The following is an 11,623-nucleotide window of genomic DNA, read 5'->3' as shown; positions in this document are numbered from 1 at the left end:
CACGTCCTCCTCCTGCCCATCTCCCCCAGGGCTTCCCCTAGCCAACCTGTACGACTCCTGTCTCCTGGCCCAGGAGGCAGCTGGGGTCTCTGGGGACAGCCTGATGGGCTCTGCCTTACCCTCCCCAGGCCTGTGAGGGGCACGGGGACTGTCCTGGCCCACCCTGGGCTGTGCCACGGTTCCCAAGACTGTGCAGCCTCTGTGGCTGCCTGCTTCCCTCAAGGGTCTTTCTTAGCTGGGCTACAGGGAACAGGACACTTAGCCGTTTGCTTCCCAGAAGCCCAGCAGAGGCTTGGGGGCCCAGCGCTGTCGGCAGCCTCCTCCTCAGTACAACTGCCCCTTGGGACCCAGCCCCTCTCAGTTCTCCCACCCCTTCTCGCTCCCAAACTGCGCAGCTCTTGGCACCCCCTTCTTACCACCCCCAGCACTTGGCAAACACTTCTAGAGGAGGCCTTTGCTAAAAGGAGTCTGGGCCATGGGTCGGCACGGCCCTGTGGCGTCCATCAGAGCAGCCCTGGCTGTGGGCTCCTCTCCCTCTTGCTGCAGGGTCACTGACTTCTAGGCGTCTGGAGTGAGGGTCTCCAGGGAGGTCATGCCCTGGCAGGCCAGAAATTGGGAGCCTCATGAGGGCCTCTGAGAGGGCTGAGTGATTCGCTCAGGCCCCACATCCACAGGGGCGGACTTAGACTTGAATCCACTGCCCTGGGCTTCACCAGGCAGATCCCCTTCCGGGAGCGAGAGCCCCGCCCCAAGGCTGAGCCAATGAACTCAGGATCTGAGTGGACCTTGGGACCTGCCCTCCAGACTTGGGCCTTCAAATGTTTCAAACACTTTCCAGCCTATGGGCTCTCATTTCACCAACAGAGCCTCCCCAGCTGGCCAGTAGAGCAGGCAGCATTAGCCTATTTTTCAGGCAAAGTGAGCCGTGGAGAAGAGTGGAAGATGGGAGATGGGCCAGATCTGAAGCCTGTGGGCCCCAGAACCACCGAGACCTCAAGGGTGCCTCCTGCTAGTCAGGTCCCCAGGAGGACCCAGCATGGCCAGGTTGCAGGTTACTCTCTGATGATGTTCGTCGTCCCCGTGGTCTGCTGGGCCCCGTCACAGCCCCCACAGCGTGCCAGGGCCTGTGAGCTGTGCTACACTGTTTTAGATGTGTTTGCTGGGTGCTGGGAGTGGTACGAAGAGGGTGCTGAGAGCTGCGCAGTTTGGGAAGGAGAAGGAGAGGCGAGCAGAGGCCGGTGGGGTGGTCCCATCCTGCAGGTGAGGAAACTCGAGGTCCTGCCCAGCATTGGGGAGCAGTGGGCAGGCAGCAGAGGAGGCCTGGTGCAAGCCGGCCAGCCACAGACCTCCTCCGCCCCATCCTCCCCGGCTCCGCGGCTCCCTGGGCCCGGGTCCCTCTTGCCCCCATCTTCCTAGGTGACTTGGATCAGGCCCTCACAGCCAACACTTCCTTTTCACAGCACCGTCCCCCTGTTTCTCTGGGGTTTTCCTTGGTCCCAGGACTCTGCCAGACACACACATGCCCCTTTAATTCTGGGGACAACTTAGGGCTGGAGGGATCATGATTCCCACTTCATGGAAAAAGAATGTTAAGGAGAGGAAGGAGATGGCCATGCAGCCCACACTGCAAAACCTGGTCTGCCAGAGCCCAGAGCCAGGCACCTCAGCACACAGTGTGGTCGTGGCAGGGGAGCCACAGGTCCTACCCTCCTCCTGCCTGGTCCACCGAATCTGACTCCCCGAAGCCGCTGGGCCTCCCTGGCCCTGCTCTTGATGAGAGGCAGCGGAGCAGCTAAGCTCTGGAATGGCCCTCATCTCCCCTCCGGAGGCAGGACAGCTTCCTCCCTCCCTCCTACACCAGCCTCGGTCAGTCGCGGGGGAAGCGCCGGGGGGCTGGACCAAGCCTGGTGCACTCTGGGGTTGGTGTGTGAGTGCAGTCCAAACAGTGTGCAGGTGTGTGCACAAGTGTATGTGTGCTTACAGGTGTGTTCACATGCAAATGTGAGTGTGAATGTGACTGTATGTGAGTAAATGTAAATGTGTGTGTGAGTAAATGTAAATGTGTGTGTGTGCAAATGTTTGAGAGTGAATGTCAGTGCATGTGTGAAAGAGGATGTGTTATGTGTGAGTGCACATGTGAGCCAGTGTGTGTCACTGATGTGAGTGTGCTTGTGTGTGTACGTGTGTGAGTAGATGTACGTATGAATATGCTTGTGTGAGTGCTTGTCCGAGTGTGAGTGTACTGTATGAATGCACTGTGTGAGTGTGCGTGTGCGGGAATGTACCTGTGTGCATGTGTATGTCTGTATTGTGAATGTGTGTGAATGTGCATGTGAGTGCAGTCTGTGTGTGTGTTGTGTGTGAGTGCGTGTGTGTGTCTGTGTATTGTGTGTGAGTGCACATCAGTAAGTGTGCATATGTGTGCACATGTATGCATATGCTTGTGAGTGCATGTCTGTGTGTGAGTGTGCATGTGTGGGAGTGTGTGTACATGTGTGCATGTGCTTGTGTAAGTAACGTCTATGTGTGTGAATGTGTGTCTGTGTGTATTTTGTGTGAATGTGTGCGTGTGTACATGTGTGGGTATGTGTGTACGTGTGTCCCTGTGCTTGTGTGTGAGTACACGTCTGTGTGTCTTGTGTATGTGAGTGATTTTGTGTGTGTGAGTGTATTTTGTGTGTGTGTGAGTGTGTGTGTATCGTATATGTGTGTGAGACAGGAAGAGGTGCAGGGCTGAGGCCGGGGGCGTCTGCAGAGCAGATGGGGGCTGTCTTGTAGAGGGGCTTTGGGTGTACTGGATTCTGTTGTTCACACCAGATGCCAAGGCAGGACTCTATGTGCAAGAACATTTTGCCAGAAAAGCCTGTGAAGGATGAGAGGGAACAGGAGTGGGAGGCGAGAGCTGTGGGACTCCGCATAGCTCTGACAGTTGCGGAAGGAGGGGGCCTCCTGGATGGCGGGGCCATTTTGAGATGTCGGCTGGCCTCAGAGACATCCCAGCCAAAGCTGCCCTAATAGGAGGCCACAGAGGAGCAGCCCCCGCCATGCCTCATCACTGGCTGGGAGCACCATGGGGCTGGCAGGTGGGGCCAGCTCCTCTCCGCTGAAGGACCCCGAGGGTGCACTGCCGGGGCTGCCCAGCGGGGGTGCTGGTGGTTCAGTTATGAGTTTGGCTCCGTTCCCACCCTCTGCTTGGCTTCAGATGCAACTCTGCAAGCCACATTTCCACTTTGCCAGCAGGGGCTGCAAGAGGGAGCCTGAGTGATGGTGACGTGGAGGCTGTCCCTGGGCACCGCTTTAAACAGGGCAAGTCATCTATCTCACGGCCAGGCTCTGCTCGGGGGGGTGCTGAATTTCCACCCCACTTCGCGGGCAGAGAACTTCAAGACAGTGTGTTCGGAGATGGAAGCCCTTGCGGGTGTTGCCTGGCTGGTGAGCTCCTAATGACCCTTCCCGGGCCACCTCCAGTGCCCCCAGCTGTAGGCCCTGCAGGAGCAAGGCATGGCTCAGCCCCAGTCTGCAGGGAAGGCAAACTGAGCTGTCCCGGGTGAGCCCTGCAGCCTGCTGGGAGCTGAGACAGAAGCCTAGACACCCTTGTTTATCCAGTTTGCCACCTCCTTGCTCCTGGAAAATACCAGCCACACCCCACGCTCAGGAACACAGGCATCCTTGCATCCTGGCTCCTGGCTGACCAGATCAGCTGGAAACATGTGCACCCAGCCTGCCTGGGAACCCAGAGTGAATCATCTGTGTCCTCCACCTCCCCGCCCCAGTCTCTGCTCCCAAAGGAGCCAGCACAGCTCAGGGAGGGACCAGCCTGGACATGCCTGGGCAAGCATTCATGGTGCAGCTGTGTGCCACACTCAGTGAGCCTGGAGCCCAGAGGCTGGGATCCTTCAAAATGGGTTTCCAAAAGCTGGTGTACTCCCTGCTCCAGGAGGCCAGAGGCAGCAGGGAGAAAGGGGTTGCAGGGCAAGGTTCTGGGTGGGAAGGAAAGAGGGAAAGAAGCAGGATGGCCAAGAGCAGGTGCTGGGGCACCTTGCAATGCCCAGCTTTTTCCCGGTGCCTCCCGGCTCATGCCCCTTTAAGAGCCCCATCAGCCTGAGCCCCCAGCTGCTCTCTGATCCCTTTGTGAAGTGCTCTGTGTCTCTGAGCAAACTGGCATTCCTTTGCTTCCCCCAAACTCTGTTCCTAGATCTTAATACATCTTCCAATCACTATGACCAGGGCCAGGGCTGAGAATGTGAGCCATGGCAACCCGAAATAATAGAAAGGATCAGAATCCAGTCTAAATTTATTCAAGTGCAAAGCTAAGAATGACCATCCAGGTAACACAGACCCTAGAAGAATGAGGTCAGTGCTCCGAAGCTGGAAAGTTAAGGTCTTGCTTTTCTAGACAGATAAAACAAAGACATTTAACAGGCTTATGTTTTTTTTTTCGTACAAGGCCAGTTTATGAGATACAGCAATTTGATTACAACTTGTTTTCCTTTTCCAGTTTAAAAGTATATTTAACATTCCATCTTAGACAACGTGATAGTCGTGAAGTCTTTGTCTGGGAGAAGTAAAAGGGAAGTCAGTGTATAAAGAGATCAACAGTGAAGAGGGAAAGTGGTCTTCTTTGGCACCCTGTTGTCTTTTACAACATACTGCACAATGATGCAGGTAAAGAAGAGGCTAATCTATAATGAGAAGAACAAAGGTTACAGCTGCCTGTTTACATGATTCAGGTCTTATAGTCACACTCCTTTAAGTCTCAAAATAATTTAAAGTTCCAACAGCTTTGATTTCGAATTACTTAATTTTTACAGCAAGATCAGCATTAATTTATGTCCAGAGTCAGGTCACAGTGTGGGGTCACATTCAGGACTCAGCCTGTGACCACAGTCAGAGATCAATGTGTGTCCAGAGTCATATATAGTGTGACAGCATGACCCAAAGTGTGGGAATGGGTCTCAGTATGTGATCAGAATCCAGGCTCAGTGTCAGATCAGGGCTCAGTGTGTGACCAGGATCGGGGCTCAATATATATCCAGGATCAGGGCTCAATGTATGTCCAGAGTCAAAACAGAGTGGAAGCACGATCAGGGCTCAGTGTGTAGCCAGGGTCAGACCTAAGTGTGTGTCTAGGGTCAGGGCTCAGGGTGTGACCAGGGTCTAGGTGCAAGCCATGCCTGTGAGAACGTCTACTGTGCAATGATGATTGAAGGGCGTGACCTGTGGCCTTAGCTTCATTATCTTGGCATTTTATCTCCTGAGACAAGCTATTCGCAGGTCTTCTTCAGGTTACCAAAGACAGAATGTTACTGCCTGCATGGCAAACAAGACCCAAGATGTGGTCTTCTGGGGACCAGGAGAACAGCTGCTCTAAGCATGTGGCCTAGGAAGTGTGGCGATTGCCCTGAAGAGCTCTGCCAGCCACACAAACCCCACCATCGAGCCCCTCACTTCTATAGGCATTGCCACATTTTTTATAGAAGCTTATTACTTTTATAATTGTTTTAGATTTACAGAAAAGTTGCCAAAGATAGTACAGACAGTTCCTATATTCCCCACACCCAGATATCCTTATTGCTATCTTCTCCTTCTCCTTCTTTTTCTTCTTCTTCGACAAGGTCTCACTCTGTTGCCCAGGCTGGAGTGCAGTGGTGCAATCACAGCTCACTGCAGCCTCAACCTCCTGGGCTCAAGTGATCCTCCCGCCTCAGCTTGCCAAGTGGTTGGGACTACAGGCATGCACCCCCATGCCTGGCTAATTTGCCATTTTTTTGTAGAGATGGGATCTCACTATGTTGCCCAGGCTTGTCTCAAACTCCTGGGCTCAAGTAATCTTCCCACCTCAGCCACCCAAAGTGCTGGGATAATGGGCGTGAGCCACCTCACCCAGCCGAAATCCCTATTTCAACATCTTATATTCCTGTGGTCCATTTGTCACAATTAATGAACCAATATTGACCCATTATTATGAGCTGAATCCACACTTGATTCAGATTGGCTTCATTCTCCCCTAATGTCTTTTTCTCATCTATTACCCTCCAAGAGCCTGTGTGGTACATACTCATGTTTACAGAGGCTCCTCTGGGCGGTGACAGTTTCTCAGACTTGCCTTGTTTTTCGTGACCTCGACAGTTTTCAGAGGTACTGGTTGAATATTTTGTGGCGTGTCTCTCAATTTGCCTGGTGTTTTCCTGGTGGTTAGACTGGGATGGTCGTTTTGAGAAGACTGAAGCAGAAGTGAATCACTGTTTCTGTCACCACATCAACAGTAGGCACTGACACTGGGATTCACCACTGTTGATGCTGACCTTGACCACTTCCATGGTGTTGTATCTGCCAGGCTTCTCTCCTACCAGGAGAAGCCTGTTTTTTCCCCGATACGGTTTCACTGTGTCCCCACCCAAATCACATCTTGAATTCCCACATGTTGTGGGAGGTGCCTGGAGGGAGGTGATTGAATCATGGGGGCAGGTCTTTCCCATGCTGCTCTCATGATAGTGAATAAGTCTCATGAAATCTGGTGGTTTTAAAAATGGGAGTTTCCCTGCGCAAGGTCTTTCTCTTTGCCTGCTGCCATCCCTGTAAGACATGACTTGCTCCTCCTTGCCTTCTGCCATGATTATGAGCCCTTCCCAGCCACGTGGAACTGTAAGTCCATTAAACTTCTTTCTTTTGTAAATTGCCCAGTCTCTGGTATGCCTTCTAAGCAGCGTGAAAACACACTCATACATTCCCCCACCCTATTTCCATGCTGTCATGGTTGGAAGGAAGTCACTAAGTGCAGCCACATCTGAGGAGTGGCAATTTAAGCTCCACCTTTTCAAGCAAAGTATCTATGTAAATTATTTGGAATTCTTATGCAGAAGATTGGTCTTTTCTTTCCAATATCCTTCTTTCTTCAATCATTTATTGATATCATTATGGACTTGTAAACATTTATTTTATGCACAGGAGTATAATCCAATACTGTTATTTATTTTGCTGCTCAAATTGTTCCAGCTCTGGCCATTGGAAGGGTTTTCAGCTGCCTGATCTATTCCTTTCACAGTCCGCATCATTTTGGGTCTTTTTTTTAGGATTTTCTTCTTTTCTGGCCCCACATGGTCTTCCACAACCCAAATGTCCTTCAACTGATGAACCGATAGACAAATGTGCTCTATCCACATGGAGTACATTCCGTGGAATCAAGCACTGACATAGGCAACAAGGCAGTGAGCCTTGAGAACTTGGTGCTCAGGGACAGAAGCCAGACACAGAGGCCACATAGTATATGATCCCCTTTGCATGACAAGTGCAGAACAGACAAATTCACACGGAGGCAAAGTGAAGCAGGGGTTGCCAGGGGCTGGGAGCAGGGAAGCTGGCACTGACGGCTGATGGGCACAGGTTTCTTTTCGGAGTAAAAACATCCCAAAATTAGATTGTGGTGATGGTTGCACAACCCTGCAACTATGCAGTACTGAAACCACTGAACTGTTCACTTTAAATGGGTGAGTTTCATGAAATGAATTATATCTCAATAAAGAAGTTTGGTTTTGGTTTTGTTTTGTTTTTAAAGGTACTTTGGCTGGGCGCAGTGGCTCGCGCCTGTAATCCCAGCAATTTGGGAGGCCGAGGCAGGTGGATCACGAGGTCAGGAGATCGAGACCATCCTGGCTAACACGGTGAAACCCCATCTCTACTAAAAATACAAAAAATTATCTGGGCGTGGTGGCAGGCGCCTGTAGTCCCAGCTACTCGGGAGGCTGAGGCAGGAGAATGGCGTGAACCCGGGAGGCAGAGCTTGTAGTGAGCTGAGATCACGCCACTGCACTCCAGCCTGGGTGACAGAGCATGACTCCGTCTCAAAAAAAAAACAAAAAAAAACTACTTCAGGCTCATCTTGTGTTCCCGCATTCCATCCCTAGAATCAGCCCTTTCTCCAAGTAGTGCTCATTCCTGTGAGTGAAGAAGGATGTCAGGAGTCAAGATACGGGTGCTGGGTGGGCACTGCTGGTTGCTGGCTGGGTTTTGGGCCTCCCCATCCACCGCTAAGCCCACCCCAGAGCAGCCTTCTGTGCTGGTCAGCATTGCTGTCACTCTTTTTCTTCAGACAACCAATTGCAGGCTTGGAGAGATTGAGGGGCTGGCCCAACACCCCACAGCATGGGCATGAGTGGGGCTGAGACCTGAACTGGGGCTGGTGGGTGTAGATACCTTTCAAGGTGGCCCCATCTCTCCCTGCGGAAGGAACTGGGATTCCTTGCGTCCTCTCTCTGGTTCGAGCCCAGGCCGTGAACTCCCGAGTGACCCCACATTCCCCTGGCACAGGGGCCCTCATGGGGCACATGGGCACGGGAGCCCCACGCCAGCATCTGAGTCCCCAGCACAGCTCCTTTCCTGCGCTTGCTGCCGGCTTAGGGGCCTTAGTTGAAATCCTGACTCCTCCACCTGCACCCGGACTCAGTTTTCCCTGTGTGAATTGGGCAGGGAGGTGGCACTGGCTACACTCCCAGGATCCTCCTCTACTCGGACAAGCTCATGCCACTAGGGCACCACTTGGGCCTCACCCACTCTGGGCCAGTGACTGGGGGGCCCCAGAGGGCGTAAGGGGCCCTGGGCAGCCTCAAGGAGGTGTTGTGGGGCTCTGCAGGCATCAGGTGGAGGAGGAGTGGCCCGAGTGGGCCTTGAGCTGTGATCTATGAAGCGCTTCCTCACTGTGAGGCCAGGACAGGGATGCCCTCCGCCCATTGGTTAGAGGACAGGACAGGGATGCCCTCCGCCTGTTGGCTAGAGGACAGGACAGGGATGCCCTCCGCCATTGGCTAGAGGACAGGACAGGGATGCCCTCCGCCCATTGGCTAGAGGCTGCTATGAGGTGAATGCAGGTTTCCAGCTACCGAACTGGGCATGAAGAGAACAAGGTCCTGAAAATCTCTAGAGACTCAGTGTGGCTGGCATGTGCCCACTGCAATTCTGGGGCCTGGGTCTAATGCCCCTCCAGCCCCTGCCCCCTGCACTGGCTAGAGAGAGGCAAGGCTGAGAGAAAGGGAAGGATGGAAGGAGGGAAAAAGGGAGGGGTGGAGGGAAAGAAAGAGGGAGGAAAAGAGGGGGGGGTGGAGAGAGGGAAAGAGAGAGAGAAAGAGGGAGGGGTGGAGGGAGGCGTGAAGGGAAGGAAAGAAAAATGAGTGGTTGGAGGGGTGAAGGGAGGGAATAGGGTGGAGGAAGGGAAGGAGGAAGGAGGGCAGAGAAAACTGGAGGGTGGGAAAGAGAGAGGGGTGGAGGGAGGGCTGGAGGGAGGGAAGGGCTTTCAGAGGGAGGGAGCGGGAGCAGGACTCATCCACTGGTTCACTCAGAGGTCTAGGGCTCCTAACCGGGGTCCCAGGTCCCTTCCTGTAGGCGGGATCGAGCTCCTCCGGGCTGGCAGGTTCCTTGCTGGGATGTAGCTCCTGTGGAACCTCACCCGTGCCCCTGTTCCTTCACCTGCCCTGCTCATCCCTGAGTCCCCTCTCAGCCACCCTAGGGAGTTGAGTCTAATGCCAGGCTGGGGAGGCCCCATTAATTATGGCCCTGAGAGAAAGCCTGGGCTGTATTTGGAGAACACCTAGCTTATAAAAGACTCGGACTCGGCTTGTAAAATGCCTGATTAGCTTAAAGAGGAATGGCCCAAGCCTTCCCCCAGGCAGAGGAAGCCAGGGCAGCTGGCAGTAGGGCAGCTGGCAGTGGGCGGCAAGGCTTCATTCCAACGCCCACCCCCAGCCCAGCCCAGGGCAGCCCCTGCCCTCAGCTCTTCCCTCGGAGCCTTCCCTGAGAGCCCAGAAGGATGGCCCCTCTCCTATACGCCCACCTTGTGGGGGCTGCAGAATCTTGCTCCTAAAAGGCCTTTTGAGAAATCATTGAGTTGAGCATTTGTCAGAGCCTTCTGCTGAAGGAAAAACAGCTTTCACTCCCAAGAATATAGACGACAGTTTGAGAACTGTGCACGGGTGCACGTGGTGTGCACGGGGTAAAATCCAGCTGATGCCCATACTGAGTTTCTGGGATTCACTGTGCCCTGGTGTGCCATCTACACAAGCTAGTCCTCTCTCTCAAGTTCCCGCCTCTCTGTGCTTGTACTTCAAAATGCAGCCGAGCCCACCTGGCCTTCTCCAGGAAGCGGCGGCTGGCCCTGCACAGCCAGACTGCAAACTGCCATCCCACTGGTGTCATCTGGCTGTGACGATTTATGCTAATGTGTGTCCCACCACACACACACTCAGACTCATACACCCGCACACCCTCACACACACACTCATACACCCTCTCACACACGCTCACACTGTTTCTCACACACACACTTATGCACACACACATACTCTCACACTTAGTCACACTGTCACACACACATTCAGTCTCACATACATCCTCATACTAACACACACTCATACACTCACTGACACTTTCACACTCATATTCAATCTCACATACACACTCATACACATGAACTCATTTCTCACTCATACACTCATGCTATACTAACACACTCACACACATTCTCACACTCACTCTCACACTTATACACACACTCACATTCACTCACATATACACATGCACCACACTCGCATCCTCACACTCACACTTGCACACTCACATTCATACACTATGCTCACTCACACACACACACACTCGTTCACACTCATTCACATTCTCACACGCATACACTGACACTCACACTTTCACACACATACACTCACTGCACACACACTTTCACATTCACTCTCACACTCATATACATGCACTCATACACTCACACTAACACACTCAACTCTCACACTTACACTCATACACTGTCATTCACACACATATTCGTGCACACTTGTACACTCACACATAGCATCACACACACAGTCTTACACAGTCTCATTCACACACTCATTCACTCACATACACACAGTTATACACACGCACTCACACTCATACACTATACTAACACACTTACATCCACACACACCTTACACACACACTCACACACACTCATACACTTATTGTCATTCACACACTCATACACTCACACATCCCCATACACTCACACACACTCAAGCTCATACACTAACACACTCACATGCACTCATTCATTCACATACTTATACACATGCACTCACACTATACTAACACACACTCATATTCACACATTCTCACACTAACACTCATACACTCACTGTCATTCACACTCATACACACACTCATACACACACATGCTCATACACTAACTCAGTCTCACACTCTCATACACTCACACTCTCACAGTCTTACACTCACACACAGCCTCACACACAGTCACACTCACACAGGCACCCATCCGCCCCAGCCCCTGTCCTGCCTCTGCAGCGGAAGGGGCCCAGCCTTGTGCAGATTGGTTACTACTCAGGGCAGGTGGAGCCCAGCACCGGGGATCTCTCCCCAGCCCACTGCTGCTGCTGCTGCGACCCTGCCCCTTCTTTGCTTTCACAGACTCAGAGCCCTGTGGCACTGGGATGGGGGGAGGAAGGGCACATCACAGTCTGTGCCATCCACGGTGGCACTGGCAGCTCACCATGCCTTTCTTCCTGGGGCAGGGCCCTGCAGGGAAGCTGAAGAAATGCTCCCTGCCTCAAAGTACCCATAAGGG

The 11,623-nt window shown here is 52.8% G+C and overlaps 3 annotated features.

Moving 5' to 3' along the window:
- Nucleotides 3,522-4,358: an enhancer, noted in NCBI's record as "H3K27ac-H3K4me1 hESC enhancer chr8:143896728-143897564 (GRCh37/hg19 assembly coordinates)". NCBI's record gives its function as "activates a minimal SCP1, AML or CMV promoter by ChIP-STARR-seq in primed H9 embryonic stem cells {active_cell/tissue: H9 hESC(primed)}" and the evidence as "EXISTENCE:reporter gene assay evidence [ECO:0000049][PMID:30033119]".
- Nucleotides 3,522-4,765: a biological region, named in NCBI's record as "MED14-independent group 3 enhancer GRCh37_chr8:143896321-143897520".
- Nucleotides 3,566-4,765: an enhancer, noted in NCBI's record as "MED14-independent group 3 enhancer chr8:143896321-143897520 (GRCh37/hg19 assembly coordinates)". NCBI's record gives its function as "activates an origin of replication core promoter dependent on BRD2, BRD4, P300/CBP and CDK7 cofactors, and independent of MED14, by STARR-seq in HCT116 cells {active_cell/tissue: HCT116}" and the evidence as "EXISTENCE:reporter gene assay evidence [ECO:0000049][PMID:35650434]".

This window comes from Homo sapiens, chromosome 8 (genome assembly GCF_000001405.40).
Source record: "Homo sapiens chromosome 8, GRCh38.p14 Primary Assembly".
NCBI classification, from domain to species: Eukaryota; Metazoa; Chordata; class Mammalia; order Primates; family Hominidae; genus Homo; species Homo sapiens.
This window is presented reverse-complemented; position numbering and strand designations above follow the sequence as displayed.